General features: G+C 49.9%; 2 protein-coding genes and 1 pseudogene across 4 annotated transcripts in view, besides 9 other annotated features; 2 read left to right on the top strand and 1 right to left on the bottom strand.

The window, feature by feature from the left end:
- Positions 16–375: a silencer, noted in NCBI's record as "silent region_684". NCBI's record gives its function as "represses an Ori minimal core promoter by ATAC-STARR-seq in GM12878 lymphoblastoid cells {active_cell/tissue: GM12878}" and the evidence as "EXISTENCE:reporter gene assay evidence [ECO:0000049][PMID:35858748]".
- On the top strand, positions 46–8,790 carry FHL3 (four and a half LIM domains 3). 2 transcript variants are annotated; one of them, NM_004468.5, is made up of 6 exons: positions 46–203; positions 6,128–6,303; positions 6,412–6,586; positions 7,428–7,597; positions 7,690–7,876; positions 8,001–8,790. In NM_004468.5, exons 2-6 carry the CDS (start codon positions 6,148–6,150, stop codon positions 8,153–8,155), a joined length of 843 nt encoding a protein of 280 aa, NP_004459.2. In that variant the 5' UTR covers positions 46–203; positions 6,128–6,147; the 3' UTR covers positions 8,156–8,790. The 2 variants fall into 2 exon arrangements, with proteins under 2 accessions (NP_004459.2, NP_001230807.1); NM_001243878.2 differs by lacking the exon at positions 6,128–6,303.
- Positions 1,228–2,036: an enhancer, noted in NCBI's record as "H3K27ac-H3K4me1 hESC enhancer chr1:38469196-38470004 (GRCh37/hg19 assembly coordinates)". NCBI's record gives its function as "activates a minimal SCP1, AML or CMV promoter by ChIP-STARR-seq in primed H9 embryonic stem cells {active_cell/tissue: H9 hESC(primed)}" and the evidence as "EXISTENCE:reporter gene assay evidence [ECO:0000049][PMID:30033119]".
- Positions 4,486–5,273: an enhancer, noted in NCBI's record as "H3K27ac-H3K4me1 hESC enhancer chr1:38465959-38466746 (GRCh37/hg19 assembly coordinates)". NCBI's record gives its function as "activates a minimal SCP1, AML or CMV promoter by ChIP-STARR-seq in naive and primed H9 embryonic stem cells {active_cell/tissue: H9 hESC(naive and primed)}" and the evidence as "EXISTENCE:reporter gene assay evidence [ECO:0000049][PMID:30033119]".
- Positions 5,274–6,061: an enhancer, noted in NCBI's record as "H3K27ac-H3K4me1 hESC enhancer chr1:38465171-38465958 (GRCh37/hg19 assembly coordinates)". NCBI's record gives its function as "activates a minimal SCP1, AML or CMV promoter by ChIP-STARR-seq in primed H9 embryonic stem cells {active_cell/tissue: H9 hESC(primed)}" and the evidence as "EXISTENCE:reporter gene assay evidence [ECO:0000049][PMID:30033119]".
- Positions 7,151–8,072: an enhancer, noted in NCBI's record as "H3K27ac-H3K4me1 hESC enhancer chr1:38463160-38464081 (GRCh37/hg19 assembly coordinates)". NCBI's record gives its function as "activates a minimal SCP1, AML or CMV promoter by ChIP-STARR-seq in naive H9 embryonic stem cells {active_cell/tissue: H9 hESC(naive)}" and the evidence as "EXISTENCE:reporter gene assay evidence [ECO:0000049][PMID:30033119]".
- Positions 8,649–8,943: a silencer, noted in NCBI's record as "tiled region #8264; K562 Repressive non-DNase unmatched - State 14:Gen5'". NCBI's record gives its function as "represses a minimal TATA promoter and a strong SV40 promoter by Sharpr-MPRA in K562 cells {active_cell/tissue: K562}" and the evidence as "EXISTENCE:reporter gene assay evidence [ECO:0000049][PMID:27701403]".
- On the bottom strand, positions 14,026–14,098 carry RNU6-510P (RNA, U6 small nuclear 510, pseudogene; annotated as a pseudogene).
- Positions 14,380–14,925: an enhancer, noted in NCBI's record as "H3K27ac-H3K4me1 hESC enhancer chr1:38456307-38456852 (GRCh37/hg19 assembly coordinates)". NCBI's record gives its function as "activates a minimal SCP1, AML or CMV promoter by ChIP-STARR-seq in naive H9 embryonic stem cells {active_cell/tissue: H9 hESC(naive)}" and the evidence as "EXISTENCE:reporter gene assay evidence [ECO:0000049][PMID:30033119]".
- Positions 15,317–15,486: an enhancer, noted in NCBI's record as "active region_781". NCBI's record gives its function as "activates an Ori minimal core promoter by ATAC-STARR-seq in GM12878 lymphoblastoid cells {active_cell/tissue: GM12878}" and the evidence as "EXISTENCE:reporter gene assay evidence [ECO:0000049][PMID:35858748]".
- The window catches only part of SF3A3 (splicing factor 3a subunit 3), a 33,048-nt gene continuing 23,873 nt past the window's right edge, over positions 15,538–24,712 (top strand). The window contains exons 1-7 of one of the 2 annotated variants that reach the window (NM_006802.4): positions 15,538–15,690; positions 15,965–16,012; positions 17,724–17,776; positions 17,882–17,987; positions 20,781–20,853; positions 21,300–21,391; positions 23,749–23,831. In NM_006802.4, the coding sequence (NP_006793.1) occupies positions 15,595–15,690; positions 15,965–16,012; positions 17,724–17,776; positions 17,882–17,987; positions 20,781–20,853; positions 21,300–21,391; positions 23,749–23,831 (551 nt within the window). In that variant the 5' untranslated portion in view covers positions 15,538–15,594. The remainder of the gene's footprint in view (positions 15,691–15,964; positions 16,013–17,723; positions 17,777–17,881; positions 17,988–20,780; positions 20,854–21,299; positions 21,392–23,748; positions 23,832–24,712) is intronic. The other variant, NM_001320830.2, reaches the window with a different exon arrangement.
- Positions 16,187–16,286: an enhancer, noted in NCBI's record as "active region_780". NCBI's record gives its function as "activates an Ori minimal core promoter by ATAC-STARR-seq in GM12878 lymphoblastoid cells {active_cell/tissue: GM12878}" and the evidence as "EXISTENCE:reporter gene assay evidence [ECO:0000049][PMID:35858748]".

Below are 24,712 nucleotides of genomic sequence, written 5' to 3'. Positions count from 1 at the left end.
GGGCCCGCGCTCACTTCCTCGGGGAGGGGTTGGGGCCGCGCTCCCACTCGCCCACACGGTCCGTCTGCAGTCGGCAGCCTCGCCGGCAGCTCGCTCGGCCCCCGCTTGGCCCGGCCCGCAGGTAGGAGCCGCCGAGGGACGCGGCGCCCGGTTCCCGGCCCCGCCTGCGCCGCGCGCTCCCCGCTCCCGCCGCCCGCTTCGAGGTGAGCGCCCCGCCGACCCCGGCTCCCAGCCCTGGCGGTCCGCCCCCGCGCCCAGGCCGGGGAGCGAAGGGACCCGCGGAGGGCTGAGGCCAGCCGCGGCCCCGGTCCCCTGTACCCGCCGGGCTCTGGCCACGGGTGCCCGGGGCACGCCGAGCCCGGGACAGCGCCCGCCGGGACTGGACCCCTCCGGGCTATCGGGCGGGGCGGGGGCGGGGGCGGCAGCGAGAGTTGGGCGGGGGAGGGGGCTAAGTTTGAAATAGAAAAGCCGGAGAGAGACAGACAGACCGACCGACCAGAAGCGCTGGAGAAACTGAGGTTCTCGGAAAGCCCGGTGGAGCGAGAGACCGAGACAGGCAGGGACTCGAGGCACAGGAGGCTACCGAGACCACTGAAACAAGGACACACCGGGCGTACAGAGTTACTGGTGGACAGACCCGAGGCATGGGGGCCGTCCTAGGCTTTGTGGAGCATTTTCAGAAAAAGCATACGTGGGACCCCAGCGAACACATTCCCTAGGGCCCTTCCCCGGGCCTTGGAGGTGCCCTGAGGCTTGGGCGTCATTGGCCTCATGCTGAATCTGCTCTCTGAGGCCTGCAGAGACGCTCAGAGACTAGAGACAGAGACATTCAGGCGTGCAGAGGTGGCGAAAGAGACTTGGATGCAGAGACAGAGAAAGGGAGGTGGTGGGGATTGAGACATTCAGCCATGTAGACAAGAAGAGACCAAGACTTGAGATCCACAGAGGCATGGGCCCCCTGGGGGACAGCCAGTCAAGATACAGAGCCGTCCAAAACCTAAAGACAGAGACTGAAGTGTGCCCAGACACAGAGATGCTGAGTGAAGCAGAGACAGACACCAGAAACTGAGACTAAGTGGGGGCAGAGAGACCTAGGTGGTCTGACAGCTTCCAGGACAGCCCCTGACTTACCCGGGCCTGAACCATTGGGAGGTGAGGCTGTGGGGAAACAGAAACTCTGAGCCTACCGATCCCCCATGAGGCAGAGGCCCTGAGACAGTAAGTTCGAGATCAAGAAGAGCCCCACGCACACACACAGCCACCAAGACAGCCCCAACTTATTTTTGAACTCAAATCTTGGATGGGCTGCCTCAGCCCTGGGGGACCCAGGGTGAATGAACTGTTCCTCTCATGTCCCCAGAGCAGCTGCGGGATCTTGCTCCCCAACCCCCTTCCCTAAACTTCTCTGACTTCCAGGCCACATGGGGGAGAGCAGAGCTTGGGGTTGGTGCCCGGTAGCAGAGGGTGAGGGTTGAGGGAGTTGGATTTCTCCCCTTAAGTCTCCTGTCAGCTTCTAGAAGGTGGGGGAGGGGTCTGTTCTGATCCTGACTCACAGCTGTGGGACCTGGCCAGGGTCCTCCTGGACAGTGGGCATGTTGGGGGTGGGGGCAGAAGGATTGAATGGTTGGCATGGGGCATTGGAAAGGCTTCTGGGTGTCTTCCAATCACAGGGCTAGCAGCTGAGGAGAAGAGCCAGGCTCTGGTGCATCTCCTGTTCCCCTGCCCTTAAAAACTGACCACCCCCATGTCACCATCCGCTTCATCACCAGGGCAGCATTTTTAGGGAGAGGGAAGAGCTCTGGGCTGGGAGGCAGGGGACCTGGGTCCTGATCGGGACCTTGGGCATGAACCTGCTCTATTCCTGGCCTCCTTGTGCTCAGCTGTAAAATGGGGATGATACTCTGTCCTGCCTGCCTTTTGTGAGATCTGATGAGATTGTGGTGGGCATGGACTTTGTGAGTGGCAAAGCAGCATGCAGGTGTCTACATCCGTGGACCTGCATGAGAGATCTCAAGAGTTAAGCTTACTAGAGTCAGGCTGACCGGACTGAAGCGACCACTTTCCCCACTGGTGTCCTCAGCAAGCCCCATGGGCCTGGGGCCCCCTATTCTCTCCCTGGGCCTATGCTGAGAATGTCCAGGTCAAATTTCAGACCAGGCTGGGCACAGTGGCTCACGCCTGTAACCCCAGCACTTTGGAAGGCTGAGGCCAGAGGATCACTTGAAGCCAGGAGTTCAAGACCACCCTGGGCAACATAGTGAGAACCCCATCTCTACAAAAAATAGAAAAACCTAGCTGGGCATGGTGGCACATGGCTGTAGTCCCATCTACTCAGGAGGCTGAGGCAGGTGGTTTGCTTGAGCCCAGAGTTGTTTTTTTTGTTGTTGTTTTGTTTTGTTTTGAGACAGAGTTTTGCTGTTGTAGCCCAGGCTGGAGTGTAATGACATGATCTTGGCTCACTGCAACCTTCACCTCCTCGGTTCAAGCAATTCTCCTGCCTCAGCCTCCTGAGTAGCTGGGCTTACAGGCGCCCGCCACCATGCCTAGTTAATTTTTGTATTTTTAGTGGAGATGGGTTTTCACCATGTTGGCCAGGCTGGTCTTGAACTCCTGACCTCAGGTGATCCACCGGCCTTAACCTCCCAAAGTGCTGGGATTACAGGTGTGAGCCACCTCACCTGGCTGAGCACAGAAGTTCGAGGCTGCCGTGAGCCATGATCGTGCCACTGCACTCCAGCCCTGGCAACAGAGTGAGACCCCAACTCAAAACAAAAAAAAAAAACAAAAAGGCTGAGCGGACACCAGCTTGGCCAACATGGCGAAACTCTCCATCTCTACTAAAAATACAAAAATTAGCTGGGCATGGTGGTGCCCTCCTGTAATCCCAGCTACTTGGGAGGCTGAGGCAGAAGAATCGCTTGAACCTGGGAGGTGGAGATTGCAGTGAGCCGAGATGGAGTTAACTGCGCTCCAGTCTGGGTGACAGAGTGAGACCCTGTCTCAAAAAAAAAAAAAAAAAAAAAATTGGGCTGGCACTGTGGCTCATGCCTGTAATCCCAGCACTTTGGGAACCCAAGGCAAGAGGATAGCTTGAGCCCAGGAGTTTGAGACCAGCCTGCGCAGCATATTGAGACCCCATCTCTATTTAAAAATTCTAGTCCAGGCAGGGTGTGGTGGTTCATGCCTGTAATCCCAGCACTTTGGGAGGCTGAGGCAGGGAGATCATGAGGTCAGGAGTTCGAGACCATCCTGACTAACACAGTGAAACCCCGTCTCTACTAAAAATACAAAAAATTAGCCGGGCGTGGTAGCAGGTGCCTGTAGTCCCAGCTACTCGGGAGGCTGAGGGAGGAGAATCACTTGAACCCGGGAGGTGGAGGTTGCAGTGAGCCGAGATTGCGCCACTGTACCCCAGCCTGGGCGACAGAGCGAGACTCTGTCTCAAAAAAAAAAAAAAAATTCCAGTCCAGCTGCTTGACCCAGACCTGCCTGTGAAACTGCTATCTGGCCCCAGTATGAGTGAGGGCGCTAATAGTAAAATACTAATAGCTACCATTTTCTGAGTATTTATTATCTGCCAGGTGCTTTACAAGTATCATCACATTTAAGCCTGACAACAAACTTAGGAGGTAGGAAGTGGTAGTATCTCATTTAATTAGATGGGAAAACAGGCTTAGGGATTTGCCCAAGATCACTCAGCCAGTAAGTGCAGGAGCCAGGATTCAAACCTTACAGCTTGAGCTGCTCCATACACCATAGCCAGTTACGCAGTCATTCTGAGCTCCAGGAGGTTCACTGGGAGGTGCCTTGTGAGGGGAGATTGTTGGAGGTGCAGGGTTGTGAGCCATCTGTAGAGGAGCAGTCTCCCCCAAACCCCGCCCCACTGCCGGTCAGGAAGGAATACAAGGCTGGCTCCCTTCAGTCCCCGCAGTCCCCAGCCTTGCCAGGGAAAAGGGCAGGGAGAGGGGTATGGGCAGAGACAGGTGGGCCTTGTTGGTGCCCTTTACTCTGTCCTCACCAGAGCCCAGCTGGATAGACTAGGGCATTGGGGGATTCTGGGAAGGAAATAGAAGCCATGCCCATACCCTATTTGGGTTGCCCTGGTTTCGGAGTGCTGACTGTCTCTCAGGGGGTGGACCCAAGTCTAGCCTGGGCCTGAGAAGGTGGCAGCCGCAGTGGGCCAAGCCAAGAAGGAAGGAAGAGGCCCAGGCACCCCCTGTGGACGCATTCCACCTGTGTGGCCCCCTGCTGCCCCGTGGCTGACAGCCCAGGCAATCCTCAGATGTTGGGCCAGAGGAAACCTGGGCCTGAGTGGCAGGAAGGGGGCTGAGAAAGAGGAGTATCTTCTCTACACCATAGCCCCCAGCCCAGGAGTTCCAGCTCTAAAGACCCTGGCCCCTGGTGGCCTCATGCCCTGGCCTGGAGCGCAAGCTGGCTGTTCTCCCATTGCGCAGAGGCTTGATGTATGGAGAGTCAGGCCTCCAAGCTGGGGGCATCTGCTGGTGCCTGGAGTCTGAACTTCAAGCCAGAGCAGCGCTTGTTGTCAAGAATTTCGCACTGGGGGTGGATGAGAAAAGGAGGACTTCTCCTTCAGCTTGAGCCAGGGCAGGCCCTGGCGACTGCCAGCACTGGAGCCTTGTGGGAGAGTGGGTTGGTGGATTCCTTTGTGTGTCCCTGTAACTTCCCCGGGCTCATCCACAGCTGTGAGAACATCTCCTTCCTATGGGTCCTGGTGGTTCCTCTCCACTACCCCAGGATCCCAGCCCTTAGAGAGCAGCCTTCATGATGGAGGAGAGCAGGGGTGGGAGCTCTGACTTTGGGGCTAGAGACTGGAATCCGGGGCAGCAGAAAGGTCTGGGAACCCCACTTCCCTACCGCTCCACTCCCTAGGCTCCTGTTCCAGAGGCAGCTGTGTGGATGACCTCATCCCACAAACATGCTTTGTTCCTGAGAAAATGGAAAGTGTCTGAGGTTTGGTCGGGGGCTGGGTGTCTCCAGCAGCAGCTCTCAGGGCTCCCCCTTGTCCTACTCCCCACCCAAGATGGGGCCTGATTGGGGAGAAAATGTCTTCAGTGGCTCTTGCTCTCTCTCCTTTCAGCTCCCTAGTCCCAAACCCTGAGAAATCGGAAAAGGTGGGAGAGACCTTCTCTCCCAGAGGCAGTAGGAGGGAAATCATGACCCCAGGGGATGGAAAGATCCTGGGGTTTTGCCAGATGTTAGCAGGAGGTGGCAGGGGGTACACTGCACTCCCAGTCTGTCTCCAGTTCCCCTCTGCCTCCCCCGACACTTCATTTTCCTTTTTTCTCCCCATTGCTGGCAAAACCTGACATCTGGCCATCTGTGCCGCCACAGCTGCTGCAGATGTTACAGGCCAAGGCTGTCCAAGCTGGTGTGACACAGCGGGGGTGGGGGGATGAGGGCAGAGGGTCTAGCTAGGGAAGACTGGCTGTGTCCAGCTTGCAGGATTTCCTTCCTGCTTGAACCTAAGCTGAGCCTCTGAAGTTCCCATTGCTTGGCTGATTCCCCGGGAGGGAAGGCCCAACCTCTCACACTGGCCTCTTCTACCATTCATTAGTCCAGCACCTCTCTAGCATTCCACTGTTTTCTGGATCAGGAGGGGCAGGCACAGCCCATTCCCGTCTCTAAGTTCTGTACTCCAGAGCTCTGGTTAAGGGTTCCTTTATCCATATTCCTAAAGTCCCTTCCTGGGAGTCAGGAGAGGGTGGGAGTACTGCTCATAAGGAGTAGAGTGGGGTGGCTCCCTGCCCCTGCTTCTCCCACGCTGGGGACAGTCGGGACAGTGGAGGCTAGACGCTGGCTGGGACAGGAAATGAGTCACTGACCCAGGAAAAGCCCCCTCCCCCTAGATCTGCTAGGGCCTAGATAAGAAAACAACTTCTGCTTCCTGGTTTTTTTCCTGACCTCTTCCTACCCCGAGTTAAATACAGAAAGAAACATGTGGGATTCCTGGTTTCCCAGAAGCACCCCTTCCCCATCCCCACCTACTCTGAACTGGCATTTCCTATGCCGGGTCTCTTGGCTGTGTTTTGAATGCAGAGGCCTCTTTGCCAGGAGCCAAGCCACAGCCTCTCTGTGTGACCCCAGTTCCACCTTGTGCTCCTAACAGGGTTCTCTCCCCTTGCCACCATGAGCGAGTCATTTGACTGTGCAAAATGCAACGAGTCCCTGTATGGACGCAAGTACATCCAGACAGACAGCGGCCCCTACTGTGTGCCCTGCTATGACAATACCTTTGCCAACACCTGTGCTGAGTGCCAGCAGCTTATCGGGCATGACTCGAGGGTAAGGAGAGGGCCAGGCCAGGCAGGAGGTGGGTGGTGACCAGTGGAAGGGGGCAAAGGATGGGTCCATGAGGCCTGGGTGCCAGTGCCCCTGCTGTGTTCCCCACAGGAGCTGTTCTATGAAGACCGCCATTTCCACGAGGGCTGCTTCCGCTGCTGCCGCTGCCAGCGCTCACTAGCCGATGAACCCTTCACCTGCCAGGACAGTGAGCTGCTCTGCAATGACTGCTACTGCAGTGCGTTTTCCTCGCAGTGCTCCGCTTGTGGGGAGACTGTCATGCCTGGTATGTGTTCAGGGGCTCATCTTGTGTGAGAACTGGCATCTGCGTAGGGTCTTTGCATGTGTCTGTCTGATACATGGAGACTTGGTCTGTGTAAAGACCTGCATACACAGCATGTTTCTGGAAATTTAGTATATACGGGATCTGTTTGCCTGGTATACTCCTGGGGGCTACTATGTACAGGCAGATTGACACATGTGATACATACTTGGGGGCTTAGCATGTGTGAATATCTGCATGTTTAGTACAGGTAGGAACTAGAGGTGTGCTGAGACTGTCATGCTTGTTGCATTGGGTCTTAATGTATGCAGAAGCAGATAAACAGAGGGCTTAACATGTGTGGGGACCTGCATGCCTAATAGAAATGCTGGGACTCAGCACCTATGGAGAATGGTGTGCCGAGGAGATGCGAGGGCTTAGCATGTACCGAACCTGTCATGCCCAGGGCATTAGAACTTTGTGTGGGCAGATACTTACTTGCCTGGTACATGTGGGGTCCCATGTGAGTGCTAAAATCATCACATCTGTTATATGAGGGCTTAGCTCTTAGTGAGACTTCATGACTGTTACATGGAGGCTTGATGTGTGCTGAAATTGTCATCTCTGGGACATATGGGGGCTTAACATAGGCCAAAACCCTCGTGTCTAGCTGGGTCATCATGTCCGGTGTCTGGGGAGAGGTTAGCATGTGTAATATACATAGGGCGGGGGGGTTCTTGCTGCATGTGCACGGACACCACCCTGCTCACGCTGAGAGAGGAGTGGAGACTCCTGGGGAAGTTACAGAGGGTGGCCCTCAGGAGCATGGGACACAACCTCTAAATGGGACCCCTGTTCCCCACAGGGTCCCGGAAGCTGGAATATGGAGGCCAGACATGGCATGAGCACTGCTTCCTGTGCAGTGGCTGTGAACAGCCACTGGGCTCCCGTTCTTTTGTGCCCGACAAGGGTGCTCACTACTGCGTGCCCTGCTATGAGAACAAGTTTGCTCCTCGCTGCGCCCGCTGCAGCAAGGTGGGGGCTGGGCCAGCCAGGTGGGGGTGAGTGAGGCCTGTTGTGGGGTGGGAATCCCCACTCATACCTACTAATGGATGCTGCCCCCACAGACGCTGACACAGGGTGGAGTGACATACCGTGATCAGCCGTGGCATCGAGAATGTCTGGTCTGTACCGGATGCCAGACGCCCCTGGCAGGGCAGCAGTTCACCTCCCGGGATGAAGATCCCTACTGTGTGGCCTGTTTTGGAGAACTCTTTGCACCTAAGTGCAGCAGCTGCAAGCGCCCCATCGTAGGTGGGACAAGGGTCAAAGAACGGAGTGGGTAGGGTGCAGGCAAGGGAGTGGGATGTGGTATTGGGTGAGGTTGAGGGCCGGACCATCCCCACATCTGCATAGCTAACTTCCAGCCTCCCTCCAGGACTCGGTGGAGGCAAGTATGTGTCCTTTGAAGACCGACACTGGCACCACAACTGCTTCTCCTGCGCCCGCTGCTCTACCTCCCTGGTGGGCCAGGGCTTCGTACCGGATGGAGACCAAGTGCTCTGCCAGGGCTGTAGCCAGGCAGGGCCCTAAGCCAGGGCTCCTGGACCCAGGCTTTCCCATACCACGGGCCCAGGACTGTGGCTCCTTTTCTAAACCACCTCTGGGACTCAGCTCCCCCCGCCAAAAAAAATGGGTCTCCTTCTGGGCTCCAGGATTGTCTCCCCACTCCAGCATCCCCAAACTGGTACTCCCTGACCCAGGGCCCCAAACCTGGGCTCTTACAGAGCCTCCATGAGTCAAGCCCCCTCCCCACACCTGGACTCCAGAATTCACCCTCTCCCCTGCAGTCTGGGTTCCCAGACTGAGTCCTCTCCCCAAATCAGGGCTCTAGACCCGAGCCCTCCAAACCTGGACTCTGGGACTTAGGCCCCCTTAAATCTAGACTTCTCTTTATAGGTTTCAGGTCTCCTATGGGTGCCTGGGAAGTCCTTGAAAGTGGACTGTTCTCAGGCTTGACCTGCCCCACCCCATCCCCGCGGTTGAGGCTGTGGGGGCAGCAGATCAGGAGCCCACTGATAAGGGGCCCTAGGGTACAGGGTGCTGCCCAGCAGGTCGCCACCGAGTGTCTTCTCATTTTATTTCAGCTCCATTTTGCCCATAGATGGGCAGAGGGGTGAGATTGGCTCATCCCCCTTCCAGATTCTGCAATAAAGCGGTGTGAGGAAGCAGGGGCCTCCGTGTGTGTGTGTGTGTGTGTGTGTGTGTGTGTGTGTGTGTGTTCAGGGTATAATGGGGAAGGAAGGGTTTTTGCAGACTGGGAGGCTCAGAATCTCTGCTAGACCTCATCCTTGCAGGGTGGGGTGGAGGGGGGCCGGGCCATGGGGTGGGAAGTCTCTCCCCATGAAGGGGATCCCCGCCACAGCTACCCTCCCTCTGGAGCTCGTCCTGCCTCCCTGCTGGCAGAGGGCTTTTTCCCTCATGTAGGGAAGGGAGGGGTTTGGGGGAGGTTCCAGATGAAAGCCAGGGTGGCGGTGGGGTTCCTTAATTGGCTGGTACGAATAGTCTCCTCCGCCAACAGCCCTGCCCAAAGCCCGCAGAGCAAGGACCTGGTTCCGATCCCCAGTCTGGGCCCAGACCCTCTCAGCCCCCTTCCCCCTCTTCCCAAGGATTAGCAAGGGCGGCCCAGGATCCTCTCGCGGCCGCACGTTTTTTGCCAAAAAAGGCAAGGATGCAGCTGCACACGCCGCGGGAACATCTGGATCCGATTCCCGGCATGAATGGGTCACGCCCCGTCCCCCGCCAACAGTGATTCAAGTCAAGGGTGGAGGCGGGAATGAGCGAGGGGGGCTGTCCCCCAAAGTGGGGAGATGGGCGGGGCGACGCTCCCCTCGCCCGCCCGGCGTCCGACGTCCCTTGTCCCTGACCCTGGCTGCCGCGGTCTGGGCTCGGCCGACCGTCCGGCTGTCGGGGCAGGTATGCGCACACAGTGGCGCCCACAGCTGCCTGCAGCGAGGCCCGGCCCTGGGCAGGCGGACCCTCGGCGCCCTGGAGTGGGAGAGCCCCTCCGGCCCGGCGGAAACCGCCAGATTGTATGTATCTCATATTAATTCCTCCCGTCCTGTGGGCGGGCATTATTACTTCCATTACACAGAGGTGGAGACGCCTGCAGTCAGCTGCCCCAAGTCACATAGGTAGTCACTGGTAGATCCTGGACTCTAACCGCTTTCTGAAGCCATGGTTGACATTTTCTTTTCTTTTTTTTTTTTTTATTTTACTTTAAGTTTCAAGATACGTGTGCAGAACGTGTAGGTTTGTTACATAGGTATACGTGTGCACGGTGGTTTGCTGCAACTATTGACCCGCCCTCTTAAGTTCCCTCCCCGACATTTTCAACAAACTTTTACGAATGCCTACCACGTGTGTTTATAATTAATAATTACCACATATGCTTACGGTTTTATTTGTTTCTCTCTCCCACCAGCCTAAGGACTGAGATCCTGCCTGCCTTGCTCCCCGCTCTCGTTCTCAGCTCCCGGCACTTACTATGTGTTCAGTAAATACTTGTTGAGGAAGAGCAGTCCAAGCATAGAAAACAACTGGCGCAAAGGCCTGGAGGCCTGAGAACATACGGTGCTTTGGGGAAGTAGCAAGTAATTCCATTTGGAGGAAGTGCCAGGAGAGTAAAATGGCAGGCAGAGCCCAGGTCCTAAAAAGCCGAATGCCAAGTTGCACAGACCTCACCCTGCAGGAAATGCAGCCTATGGAACTGTTTAAGCAGGGGCCTGTGATGAGCAGAGTTGTAGACAGATCATGCTGGCTGCAGCATGAATAATGGAGTGGAGGGGTAAGATGAGCAGGCTGGTTCGGAGGCTAGTGTAGTGTGGTCCGGGTGAGACATCTTGCAGCAGGTAGCAGCTCGAGTGGAAAAGGCAAGACTTGCTGCCTGGAGTGGGGATGAAGAAACATTTAGGGGCAGGAAGGCATCAGGTTTGAGACACAGTGACTGGAGGATGGTGGTGGTAAGGCGGTCCACCCACCTAACAGGAAGTGAGAGATGTGCAGCTACAAAATTGTTTGATTTATTTCAATACAAACATTTTTCAGACTTAACATCTTAGAAACCCAGACATATAATCAAGGCCAGGCGCAGTGGCTCACGCCTGTCATCCCAGCACTTTGGGAGGCCGAGGCGGGTGGATCACCTGAGGTCAGGAGTTTGAGACCAGCCTGGACAACATGGTGAAGCCTCGCCTCTACTAAAAATACAAAAATTAGCTGGGTGTGGTGGCAGGCATCTGTAATCCCAGCTACTCCGGAGGTTGAGGCAGGAGAATTACTTGAATCCGGAGATGGAAGTTGCAGTGAGCCGAGATAGCACCACTGCAGTCCAGCCTGGGGGACAAGAGCAAAACTCCGTCTTAAAAAAAAAGAAACCCAGACATATAATCAAAGGTGTGTCATTGTTTAATTGACAATTTTTTCTCTCTTCCTTAGTAAAGCATAAAATAATACTGAGTTTTACATTTGATGGCATCTCGTATTCAAGAAATACAGTAGCTCTCCAAGTTTATACCCCCCAAAAAACAAAACAAAACAAAAAACATTTGCTGAGTCTCCCCACTCCCTGAATGGAGATTTCTACTTTACCTCTTTCCTAATGTCCCAGGAAAAGCCCCAGATGAGTTGTGACTGGGTCCTTTCCCTAAGCTTGGCAGTCCTGCTTAAATTTCCGATATACAAATAAGATCCCCATAACACCCTCATGAGTGGGCAAAACACAGGTCACTATTTCCATTTTATATTTATTTATTTATTGAGACAGAGTCTCACTCTATCGCCAGGCTGGAGTGCAGTGGCGCGATCTCGGCTCACTACAACCTCCACCTGCCGGGTTCAAGTGATTCTCCTGCCTCAGCCTCTCAAGTAGCTGGGACTACAGGCGTGCGCCACCATGCCCAGCTAATTTTGTTGTATTTTTAGTAGAGACAGGGGTTTCACCATGTTGGCCAGGATGGTCTTGATCTCTTGACCTCGTGATCTGCCGCCTCGGCCTCCCAAAGTGCTGGGATTACAGGCGTGAGCCACCATGCCCAGCCTCCGTTTTTTCAAACTTTTTTTTTCTTTTTTGAGACAGGGTGTCACCCAGGCTTGAAGATTATAGCTCACTGTAACCTCAAACCCCTGGGCTCAAGTGATCCTCCCGCCTCAGCCTCCCAGGTAGCTGGGAGTACGGGCAAATGCCAGCAAGCCCAGCTAATTTTCTTATTTTTTGTAGAGATGAGGTCTCGCTATGTTGCCCAGACTGTTCTAGAACTCCTGGCTTTAAGCGAAATTCCCAGCTTGGCCTCCCAAAGTGCTGGGATTACAGGCGTGAGCCACTGCACCCAGCCTGCTTTCAAACTTTTAAAAACAAAAAGTAATGCATGTTTACTGTAGAAAAATTGGGCTGGGTGCGGTGGCTCACGCCTATAATCCCAGCACTTTGGGAGGCCAAGGCAGGAGGATTGCTTGAGCTCAGGAGTTGCAGACAAGCCTGGGCACCACTGTGAGACCTCATCTCTAGTAAAAATTTTTAAAAAATTACAGCGGGTCTGGTGGCTCATGCCTATAATCCCAGCATTTTGGGAGGCCAAGGCAGGAAGATCGCTTGAGTCCAGGAGTTTGAGACCAGCCTGGGCAACACGGCAAAAAACCCCATCTCTACAAAAAATACAAAAATTAGCAGGGTGTAGTGGCGCACATCTATAGTCCCAGCTACTCAGGAGGCTGAAGTGGGAGGATAGCTTTAGCCCAGGAGGTCGAGGCTGCAGTGAGCCAAGATTGTGCCACTGTACTCCAGCTTGGCAAGACCCTGTCTCAAAAAAAAAAGAAAAACCTTGGCTTGGTGTGGTAGCTCATGCCTGTAATTCCAGCATTTTGGGAGGCCAAGGTGGGCGGATCACCCTGAGGGCAGGAGTTCAAGACCAGCCTGGCCAACATAGCAAAACCCCATCTCTGCTAAAAATACAAAAATTAGCTGGGCATGGTGCCACGCACCTGTAATCCCAGCTACTAGGGAGACTGAGGCAGAATTGCTTGAACCCAGGAGGTAGAGGTTGCAGTGAGCCAAGATCGTGCCACTGCACTCCAGCTTGGATGACACAGAAAGACCCTGTCTCAAAAAAAAACAAAAAACAAAAAACCTCGCAGTTTTTTGGTGTGCGGTGGCTCACACCTGTAATCCCAGCATTTTGGGAGGCCAAGGCAGGCAGATCACCCGGAGGTCAGGAGTTCAGGACCAGCCTGGCCAACATAGTGAAAGCCCGTCTCTACTAAAAATACAAAAACTAGCCAGGTGTGGTGGCAGTCACCTGTAATCCCAGCTACTCAGGAGGCTGAGGCAGGAGAATCGCTTGAACACAGGAGGTAGAGGTTGCCGTGAGCTGAGATCGCGCCACTGCACTCCAGCCTGGCGACAGAGCGAGACTCCCAAAACAAAACTTTAAATGTGGCTTTTGTTGCGTGGGAAAAAAATAAAAAATTAACCAGGGTGGTGGCACCCACCTGTGGGGGCCACAGGGGTGGAGGCTGCAGTGAGCCATGATTATGCCACTGCACTCCAGCCTGGGGCAACAGAGAGAGACCCTATCAAAAAAAAAAAGAAAAAGAAAAAAAAGAAAAAAGTGAACAATAGGTAAATTACTAATAATGTGATGCATTATGTCCTCCTCGTTCTTTTTTGTTAAACATAAATGTGCACATATGTATTTTCAGTTTTAAATTAATTTTTAAATTGAAAAAGTATGTTTAAGAATAACTTTTTATGCTGTGCTTGGGGTGTATACAAAGAAAAATCTCCCATATCAGATCTCCAAGGCTGTCTGCTCAGGAACAACCACTGTTTACTGTTACTTGGATATCCTTACAGAAATAATCTCTTTGCACATCTATTTTTATACACACTTGTGCATCTAGCTTTTTTCAGTTTGTGTGGCCATCTCTCCATATGAGTTCATACAGAGTTTTTAACAGTTTTATTGAAGTGTAATTTATATACCATAAAATTCACCCATTTTTAACAGTACAAAGCAATTAATTTTAATAAAATGAATAGAGTTATGCAACTATCACCACAATCCAATTTTAGAACATTTCTACCCATCCAAAATGGATTCCTTGTGCGCATTTGTAATCACTTCCAATCTCACCTGCGGTCACAAGCAACCACTCATATTTCTGCCTCCATAGATTTGCCTTTGTTAACTCAATTGTAGCCTAAAGCTGCCTCCTTACATATTTTAAATTTAGCCTAAAGGTTTCTCTGTACATTGTGAACTATAACCTAAATGGAGTTGTAAACAGACCATAGCCTACTCTTTGCCAATCACCGAGTTTTGGCCAATCAAACATGGCAAACTATGCAAACCGTGTTCAAATAAGGCAAAGACCAAGCTGTAATAACCGGTGTTTTTTTTTTTTTTTCTTTTTGCAGGGGCCATGCTAATCTTCTCTGTATGGTTCCAATTTTAGTATATGTGCTGCCATAGCAAGCACCAGTGTTTTTCTTTTAACACCGTTCTGGACGTTTTATCTGGACATACACTGTTGTTTTTCTGTCTAGCTTCTTTCACTTAGCATGATGCTTTCATGGTTCATCATTGTAGTATTCATTTATTGCAGAATAATGTTCCATTGTACTGTATAGATATACCACACTTTATCCATTTGCCAGTTAATGGACTCTTGGGCTGCATCCAGTTTTTGTCTATTATGAATAATGCCGCTGTGAACATATGAACACATGGACATGTTTGCATTTCTCTACCTACAAGTGGAGATATATAGACAGAATTTTTTTTAAGGCTGTATGTCATTTCACAGCTGGTCTTCCACTGCTTGGATGCACAGTATTTTATTTTATTTTATTTTACTTTTTTTTGAGACGGAGTCTCTCTCTGTCGCCCAAGCTGGAATGCAGTGGCATGATCTCAGCTCACTGCAACCTCTGCCTCCTGGGTTCAAGTGATTCTCCTGCCTCAGCCTCCCGAGTAGCTGTGACTACAGGCGCGCGCCACCATGCCCGGCTAATTTTTTGCAGTTTTAGTAGAGACGGGGTTTCACCGTGTTAGACAGGATGGTCTCAATCTCCTGATCTCGTTGGATGCACAGTATTTTATTTAACATATTCGCTGCCGATAGACAAGTCGTTTCTACACGTGAATTTCTTTTTTTTTTTTTTTTTTGAGACTGAGTCTCATTCTGTCGCCCAGGCTGGAGTGCAGTGGCACGATCTCAGCTGACGGCAACCTCTGCTTCCCGGGTTCAAGCGATTCTCCTGCCTCAGCCTCCGGAGTAGCTGGGACTACAGGCGCCTGCCATCACGCCCGGCTAATTTTTGTTTGTTTGTTTTTAGTAGAGACGGGGTTTCACCATGTTAGCCAGCCTGGTCGTCTCGAACCTCTGACCTCAAGTGATCCGCCCGCCTCGGCCTCCCAAAGTGTTGGGATTACAGGCGTGAGCTACCGCGCCCGGCCTCACATGTGAATTTTTTTAAAAACACCACCAGCAAAACCCCACTATTCCCATTTTCCTGAGAAAGACGCTGAGGTCCAGAGAAAGAGAAAACGTTCTCATAATTTATGCTGAAAGCTGCGTCCTCAAGTTCCGGTTTCCCAACTCCCATCCGCACTCCAACTGCTCGCGCAGTCCACACAGGATACCTGCCCGCCAAGCCGGCCCCAGCAAGCCGCAGGAAGCCGTCCGCTGAACCTCAGGTTCTTGGGTTTTCCTATGCCCCCTGGAGGCATCTGCGAACCTCTCGGCATCGCTCCACCACACCTCCCACCAGCAGGTGGCACTGTTGCCATCTCCATAACATGGACTGGCCTTCCTTGTGGTGCTCCTGTTTTCTTAAGTCCCGGGGCACTTCCGGCACTCGCGGAACTTTGGTGCAGCCTGATGCGCAACGTGGGGACTCAGGCGCGCTGGGCGGCAGGAGTTGCTTCCGGCCGTGTTGGTGGTCTGAATTGAGAAGCCGCGACTAAGGGAAGATGGAGACAATACTGGAGCAGCAGCGGCGCTATCATGAGGAGAAGGAACGGCTCATGGACGTCATGGCTAAAGAGATGCTCACCAAGAAGTCCACGGTGAGTGGGGCCTGAGCAGAGGCTGCGGCAGGAGCACGAGCCTCTATCCCGTGTTTGACCTCTGAGAGCTTGCTTTGGCCCTCAGAACCTCCCTGCCTTCCTCCGGGCTCCCTCTCCGAGCTCCGGTCTTGGTAACCTCCTCCCGGGGTCCGGAGCCCCAGAGGCCTTTCTGCCTCAGCTGGTAAAAGCTGAGCGGGTAAGCTCCGCCCTCGGGCGGCCTTTTCTACTCCAGAACGCAAACTAACGGCGTTTGTGTCACCGTTTGTTTTTTCAGCTCCGGGACCAGATCAATTCTGATCACCGCACTCGGGCCATGCAAGATGTGAGTGCCCAGCTGTCTGCCTCTCTTTGGGTTGGCGAGGGCGGGAAAAGAGAGGGGAAGTGAAGTGCGGTGTCTCAGCATGAGTCCCTGGCCAAAGGTAACCGGATTGGCCAGTCGCGGGCTCTCTGCCTGGACAGATGTCCACAGGCTGCCGAACGTGAGGGTGCTTCCTCAGTTCTCTGAATGGGGAACTCTTGGGCATTCTTCATTAATCAGAAAGGTGCCCTTTTTTTTTTTCTTCTTCTTCTTCTTTTGGACGGAGTCTCGCTCTGTTGCCTAGGCTGGAGTGCAGTGGCGCGGTCTCGGCTCACTGCAACCTCCGCCTCCTGGGTTCAAGCGATTCTCCTGCCTCAGCCTCCGGAGTAGTTGGGACTACAGGCGCTCGCCACCACGCTCAGCTAATTTTTGTATTTTTAGTAGAGACGGAGTTTCTACTAAACATGTTGGTCAGGCTGGTCTCGAACTCCTGACCTCGTGATCCACCTACCTCGGCCTCCCAAAGTGCTGAGATTACAGGCTTGAGCCACCGCGGCCGGCTTACACGTGCCCATTCTTACAGCATCCTGTATCCCTTGGATGTGCAAACAATAGTTATGAAGAGTCCATGACTCAGGTGCATAGCTACAATCCTTCCCTTAAATGAAAAAAAAAATATATATATATATATACACACACACACACACACACACAACACACCCCGTATGTTAGTGTTTTTCTCCCAGGATACTACTTTAAAGCGTTTTGGACTACTAAACTGCATTTGTCTGGTAATAGTTCAGTTTATTAAAAGAAAAACAAGATGCTATTTAAACTGGGTGATGAATAAATGGAGGTTCATTTTACTACGTTCCTTACTCTTGTGTATGTTTGAAACCTGTTTAAAAAGGAATAAAAGACCTACTTGGACCTTCTGATTTGCAGGAGATTATCAGATTACAAGCCCTCAGCCCCAAAATACTCTGAAAACCAAGGATTTTCTTTTTTTCCCCTTGGGTGATTATTTGGTGTCAAAATCTGACCTGATCTCACTTGACAGTAAAACCTGGCCCGAACCTGTGATAGGCTTTTTATGGTCTTTAATTTATCCCACTTGGTAAATAAGGTATGAGGTTTACTGCAGAACTGTGTGCTCCAGATTCCACTAGGGATGTTACATAATATATGATACCTCTTTTGAACTTAAACATTCCAAATTCTGAAACAAATCTGGTCCCAAAAGTTTTGGAGGAGGGACTATGTACCTGTACCATCCTGAATTAGTATACTTTGACTACAAAGGAAGCCTATGTAATGTTTATTTAGCCTGCCTACTCCTCAGTCAAGCGTTTTGAAATAGTGAATATCATCTTTATCTTTGAGGATGTTAGGTGGGAACTAGTGTTTGGCCAAAGAGGGTGAGTCTGTTACAGGGGAAGTTAGGCATCGGTGGTATGTAAAGATAGGAGCCACCCCTTAAATGTATCATTTAGGTAATCTTCCAATCGACCTGCTTAAAAAACTAAACAGGAATCAAGGCTGTTAAAGGGCTATTAAAAAACTAACCAGGAATCAGGGCTGTTAAAGGTACTAGGAAGCACAGAACTGTTAAGACTATCTCATATCCATGTCTCTTGAGGTTGCCCTGGGCTTTGACTGGAGAACCCTTGTTGTTTGCTTAGCTCTACAGTTGTGCAAATTGCATCATTCTGATGGTTTTGTATTTGCCTTTCAGAGGTATATGGAGGTCAGTGGGAACCTGAGGGATTTGTATGATGATAAGGATGGGTAAGTGACAGTCACAGCTAATCCAGGAGTTAGTGCTTCTGAGGAGCCATGGTTAGAGGACTGACTTTGTGCTCTATCTTCTTTGAAATTTTCCTGAAATTGCAGATTACGAAAGGAGGAGCTCAATGCCATTTCAGGACCCAATGAGTTTGCTGAATTCTATAATAGACTCAAGCAAATAAAGGAATTCCACCGGAAGCACCCAAATGAGGTATGTCCTCAGAAAAGTATTTTCTCCAGACCTATCCTTAAAGCATACTAAAGGAAAGGTATAAAGGAAACTGGACATGTGCTATTCAAATGCACTTCAAGAAAGAACTTGCCATTTAGCTGCAAGGACCATAGTTAGCTGACATCCTACAATACAGTGTTTTCAGTATCTCCCTCAGCTTTTAAGCCAAGGCCGGCTGGGCACGGTGGCTCACGCCTGTAATCCCAGCACTTTGGGAGGCTGAGGTGGGTGGATCACCTGAGGTCAGGAGTTCAAGACCAGCCTGGCCAACATAGTGAAACTCAACCTCTACTAAAAATACAAAAATTAGCCAGGCATGGTGGCATGTGCCTGTAATCCCAACTACTCAGGAGGCTGAGGCAAGAGAATCACTTGAACCTGGGAGGTGGAGGTTGCAGTGAGCCGAGATTGCGCCATTGCACTCCATCCTGGGGGACAAGAGTGAGACTTTGTCTCAAAAAAAAGAAGTCAAGGCCACATTTTGTGGGCAGCTCCCAGCCAGTGACTGAGCACAGTATGGGTACTAGGGCCCAGCAATTTGGTCCACTCTGAGACTCCTCTGATGAATAATCTTTGCTCCATGGCTCCCCGTTGGGTTGGTCAAGATTTTGTCCAATCTGCATTGTGGTCTAGGCTATCCTGTCCTAATCCTACTTTCTCTTCCTTTTTATCTTTCACAGAAATTACTCTCCCCAATAAATTGTGTTCCTAACTCTGTCTTTTTTTTTTTTTTTTTTTTTGAGATGGAGTCTCGCTCTGTTGCCCAGGCTGGAGTGCAGTGGCATGATCTCGGCTCACTGCAAGCTCCACCTCCCGAGTTCATGCCATTCTCCTTCCTCAGCCTCCTGAGTAGCTGGGACTACAGGTGCCTGCCACCACGCCTGGCTAATTTTATGTATTTTTTAGTTGAGACAGGGTTTCACCATGTTAGCCAGGATAGTCTCTATCTCCTGACCTTGTGATCCGCCCACCTCGGCCTCCCAAAGTGCTGGGATTACAGGCATGAGCCACCGCGCCCGGCCCTCATATGCCCTGGAGCTCACTTATAATAAGGTAAAGAGAAAAAGGGCCTGGGAAGGCTTCCATCAGAAAGGTCACATGACCACTCCAGGTGGTGTTGCCTTACTGAAGTTAAGCAAAAGAGAGTTTCAGAAAGGCAGTCATGGTGTCAACTGTTATTGATTTATATCTGCCAGGATTGCTGCTTCATTAAAGTAGTATGAATGGAAATCTGGTCACAAGGTAAAGATGGGTAATGGGGAAGTAGAAGTATGGAGTATGGAACATGCATTTGAAAGGCTGGTAGCCAGGTGCAGTGACTCACGCCTGTAATCCCAGCACTTTGGGAGGCCGAGGCGGGTCGATCATCTGAGGTCAGGAGTTGGAGACCAGCCTGGCCAAAATGGTGAAACCTCTCTCTACTAAAAACACAAAAATTAGCCGGGCATGGTGGTGCACGCCTGTGATCCCAGCTTCTCATGAGGCTGAGACAGGAGAATCGCTTGAACCCAGGACATGGAGGTTGCAGTGAGCTGAGATCACGCCACTGCACTCCAGCCTGGGCAACAGAGCAAGACTCCGTCAAAAAAAAAAAAAAAAAAAGTCTGGTAGGAAAAAGAAGGGGAGAAACAGGAGGGTATTGGGGAAGACAGAGAAGCATACTTATTTGAAGGAGCACAGGGAAAAAGGAAGAGACTAAAAACAGCAAAAAATAGAGGCTGTTTATTGCAATACATAGCGCGGAGGTAAATGAAGGGACCCTCACACACATAGCCCCCTTGGAGGATAGAGAATGAGGTCTTCTGCTAACCAAGGGAGAATAAATGAATACCATTCTGATGTGTTAACCTTATTCCAGCCATGGTCAAAAGGTAATGAGGAATAAATGCTTAAATAACTGATTAGAAGGATGCCCAAGATATACTAAATGTCAGACGCAAGTCTTTTATGTTAAAAAAACAAAAACAAAAACCTATGCAGGCATGAATGTACTTGTACAAATACATATATTTAAATACATAGAGCACTGTTTTCCAAACTTTGTGCATATTTGAGCCACCTGGGGATCTTTAAAAAGTACTGATACCTGCCCTCCTTTGATTTAATTGGTATCAGGTGCATCAGGATTTAAAAAAAAAACTCCCCCAGGTGATTCTAATGTGCAGCAAAGTTTGGGAACCACTGGCATAGCAAAAGCTCTGTTAACAGTGGTCACCTGTTCTCAGGAGAATTAATAAAGGTGGACTTTTGAGTTTTTGTGAGCATGTGTTACTTTAGTGGGTTTTACTCAAACAGTACAAAAAAGCGGGGAAAAACAAGGTAATTGGAGAACAGTAGTAGATTTCCTAGTGAAAAATCAAGGCCAAATAAATCATCAGAAGTCCAACTTTCTGTGTATTTCATTTCTGTGATCTTGCAACTTTTACATTGAAAAATCCGCCTGCGGTCAGGCACAGTGGCTCATGCCTGTAATCCCAGCACTTTGGGAGGCCAAGGTGGGCAGATCACTTGAGCTTAGGAGTTTGAGACCAGCCTGGGCAACATGGCAAAACCCTGTCTCTACTAAAAATACAAGAATTAGCCAAGCGTGGTGGTGTGTGCCTATAATCCCAGCTACTCGGGTGGCCGAGGCAGGACAATCGCTTGAACCCGGGAGGTAGAGGTTGCAGTGAGCCAAGATTGTGCCAGTGCACTCCAGCCTGGGCCACAGAGTGAGAATCCATCTCAAAAGCAAAAAGAAAAATCCACCTGAGCTTTTACTTTTCCCCTCAGATCTGTGTGCCAATGTCAGTGGAATTTGAGGAACTCCTGAAGGCTCGAGAGAATCCAAGTGAAGAGGCACAAAGTAAGTAGGGGTGAAAATTTCATTCAGCACCAGCAAAAATACAGGTTAATGACAGCTCAGATTTGCAGCCATGGCCTCAGAGATATTTATAGCCAGGATTTCTTGCTGGTTTTGTCTTTGCTGGTTTCTGGGCTAGAGTGACATCCTAAGTTGGTCTTGGGCAAAATGTTCATTTTGTTCTCTCCTACCTCAAATTTACTGGCTTGGAAAGCCAAGGATTGTTCACTTTAGTTCACAATACTAAAATGAGTCAGTCCTTGTTACCTTGTAAGAGAAAACTCACTTTTGATCTCACTTAACTTATTGGAGGTTATATTGTGAGCAAAGGGAAGACATTTGGGTGAAGTGCTGCCTCAGGAAACTAGGAACACACAGTCCATTTGAAAAGGTAAGTCCAAGAGAGTGGTCTGTAGAAACTGAATCATTGATGTATCTGATTCCCTCAGACTTGGTGGAGTTCACAGATGAAGAGGGATATGGTCGTTATCTCGATCTCCATGACTGTTACCTCAAGTACATTAACCTGAAGGCATCTGAGGTAAGGCCTGGGAAAGGGCAGAGAGGTTCTGATTCTCGAAGTGAGTCAGGACAGTAGGCTGGAACTAGCAGACATGAAGCCATTGTAAAGTGTCTTCCTTGTGTTTTAAAACTCTTATGTAAATATTAAAGAGGTGATATGCTCTCTTGGAATGAAATACTATTCAAAATGAAAGTTTTCTACAGTGAAAACAAGAAGCATATTTATTTATTAATACTTTTTTTTTTATTTTGAGATGAGGTCTTACCATGTTGCCCAGTCTGGAGTGCAGTGGTATGATCTTTGCTCACTGCAACCTCGACTTCTGGGCTCAAGTGATCTCCTGCCTTAGCCTTCTGAGTATTTGAGGCTACAGGTGCATACCACCACCACACTTGGCTAATTTTTGTCTTTTTTTGTAAAGATGGGGTCTTGCAGTGTTGCCCAGGCTGGTCACAAACTCCTGACCTCAAATGATCCTCCTGTCTCGGCCTCCCACAGTGTTGGGATACAGGCATGAGCCATTGTACCCAGTCCATTATCAATACAGCAAGCATATTTTACCTTTGCCAAAATAAATCTTTTTTTTTTTTTTTTTTTTTTGAGACAGGGTCTCACTTTGTCACCCAGGCTGGAGTGCAGTGGCGCGATCTTGGCTCACTGTAGCCTAGACCTCTTGGACTCAAGTGATGGATCCCGCCTCAGCCCCACCAAGTACTTGGGACTACAGGCGTGTGCCACCATGCCCAGCTAATTTTTTGTATTTTGTGTAGAGATGGGGTTTTGCCATGTTGCCAAGGCTGGTCTTAAACTCCTGAGCTCAAGCAATCCGTCTGTCTTGGCCTCACAAAGTGTTGGGATTATAGACGGAAGCCACTGCATCCAGCCTTACATAAGATTTCTTTAAATTCTTTTTTTTTTTTTTTTTTTTTTAAATAAATACCATGTTCCTGGCTGGACACAGTTGCTCACGCCTGTAATCCTAGCACTTTGGGAGGCCAAGGTGGGCAGATCACCTGGGGTCAGGAGTTCAAGACCAGCCTGACCAACATGGAGAAACCCCGTCTCTACTAAAAATACAAAATTAGCTGGGCATGGTGGCGCATGCCTGTAATCCTAGCTACTCAGGAGGCTGAGGCAGGAGAATCGCTTGAACCCAGGAGGCGGAGGTCGCGGTAAGCCGAGATTGTGTCATTCATTGCACTCCAGCCTGGGCAACAAGAGCAAAACTCAAACTCAAAAAAAAAAATTTTTTTTTGTAGAAATAGGGTTTCACTGTATTGTCCAGGCTAGTCTTGGACTCCTGGACTCAATCAATCCTCCTGCCTCAGCTTCTCAAAGCCTTGGGATTACAGGCATGAGCCACTGTGCCCACCCAGATTTATGTGTTCTTCTAGGTGTTCCTGTTTTAGACACAAACAATACTAGGTACATGGAAAATAAAACAACATGATCTTTCAGTCAGCAAAAAGGTATTTAATGTCTTTTCTTAAAGATGTTTAAAAATAGCTTATCACAGGCCGGGCGCGGTGGCTCACGCCTGTAACCCCAGCACTTTGGGAGGCCAAGGCAGGTGGATCACCTGAGGTCAGGTGTTCAAGACCTGCCTGACCAACATGCAGAAACCCTGTCTCTACTAAAAATAGAAAAAATTAGCCGGGCATGGTGGCTCATGCCTGTAATCCCAATTACTCAGGAGGCTGAGGCAGGAGAATCGCTTGAACCCATGAGGTGGAGGTTGTGGTGAGCCGAGATCATGCCATTGCACTCCAGCCTGGGCAACAAGAGCCAAACTCCGTCTCAAAAAAAAAAAAAATAGCTTATCACAAGAGATGAGGTTTAATATGACAATCTCAAAAGGATCACAAGGAAATCCATGATTAGATTCCTCATGGAATTGTGAAGAAATGTCCCAGAGTTGTAGTGACCAAACTTCAAGTTCCATGCAGGCAAGTCAGATCCCTTGTCTGTTTTGTTGTTTTCTGTACCCCGTACTTGGTACAAAGATGCTTAATAAGTAGTTACTTGCGTGAACAAATGGCACCTTTGAGCACCTTGTTTTAGGGTGTCAGAGTCTTTAACCAAGACCCTAGCATGAGGTAATAATCGACAAACGTTTCTTTTAGTTTAATGTTCATTAACTTGATCTTTATTTTGTAAAGTTATTATGTCTGATATTTTCCTTCAGTCCAGTGAAATTAACACTCCAGTTGTAGTAGGATTGAATGATAGGCAAGCAAAAAAAACCAAAATTAGCCAGCCCTTGTTACTTCTTTAGAAAACACTCAATTTTGATCTCACTTATTGGAGATTATATTGTAACTTGTTACAGTATAAATACCTAACTGAATTTCTTGTCATTTCTTTCCTCTTTTCAGAAGCTGGATTATATCACATACCTGTCCATCTTTGACCAATTATTTGACATTCCTAAAGAAAGGAAGAATGCAGAGTATAAGAGGTAGGCATTAATAGTTTCTAGGCCTCTCCTGGATTTGATTAGAAGATAATGTGAAGTTTTTGAGGGTGAAGTTCTGAATTTGTTGCCTGGAAGGCATACATGAAGGCATACTTCCAGGTTTATTGGAGGATGGGGTTATGAATGATGTGGTTTTAAAACCTTTGCGATAGTCTGGACGTGGACAAAGGTGTGTCTGTGGGCACATCTTCCATCTTATGCCCATAGTGTTCTTAATTTTGTCTCATTATAGAAGGAACTCTCCCACTCTGGGATTTCTGTGTTTTTGGAGTTTAATGGGAAAAAAAATTAGACTTTCTCAGATAGTGACTGAAGTGAGATGCTTAGGTGTGATGTATAAGTGAAAAATTTATGTTTTTGTTAATTACTCTCCTGATTAGTGATTTTATACCCTTCCCCTCTTTTTCTCATTTTCTTTTTACTGAAATCTTTTATGTGCAAAGTAATTAAGACCTTAGTATTTAGCATCATTTTATGAGAATAAAAGGAGGCGGGAAAGGTCAGAATCAAAATGACATGTTGGGAAAAAAGTCCATTGTAAGTTCATTTAAAAATGAGTATTGGCCGGGCGCGGTGGCTCACACCTGTAATCCCAGCACTTTGGGAGGCCGAGGCAGACGGATCACCTGAGGTCAGGAGTTCGCGACCAGCCTGACCAACGTGGAGAAACACCGTCTCTGCTAAAAATACAAAATTAGCCGGGCATGGTGGCGCATGCCTGTAATCCCAGCTATTCGGGAGGCTGAGACAGGAGAATCGCTTTAACCCGGGAGGCGGAGGTTGTGGTGAGCCAAGATCCCGCCATTGCACTCCAGCCTGGGTAAGAGGAGCGAAACTCTGCCTCAAAAAAAAAAAAAAAAAAA

The sequence above is a fragment of the Homo sapiens genome, chromosome 1, assembly GCF_000001405.40.
Source record: "Homo sapiens chromosome 1, GRCh38.p14 Primary Assembly".
Classification (NCBI taxonomy): domain Eukaryota; kingdom Metazoa; phylum Chordata; class Mammalia; order Primates; family Hominidae; genus Homo; species Homo sapiens.
This window is presented reverse-complemented; position numbering and strand designations above follow the sequence as displayed.

Excerpts from the sequence above, each read along its gene's own strand:
- FHL3 (NM_004468.5), top strand. The coding sequence starts at position 6,148 with ATGAGCGAGTCATTTGACTGTGCAAAATGCAACGAGTCCCTGTATGGA. Across the intron at positions 6,587-7,427 it reads TGGGGAGACTGTCATGCCTG|GGTCCCGGAAGCTGGAATAT; the intron begins GTATGTGTTCAG and ends TGTTCCCCACAG. Across the intron at positions 7,877-8,000 it reads CTGCAAGCGCCCCATCGTAG|GACTCGGTGGAGGCAAGTAT; the intron begins GTGGGACAAGGG and ends GCCTCCCTCCAG.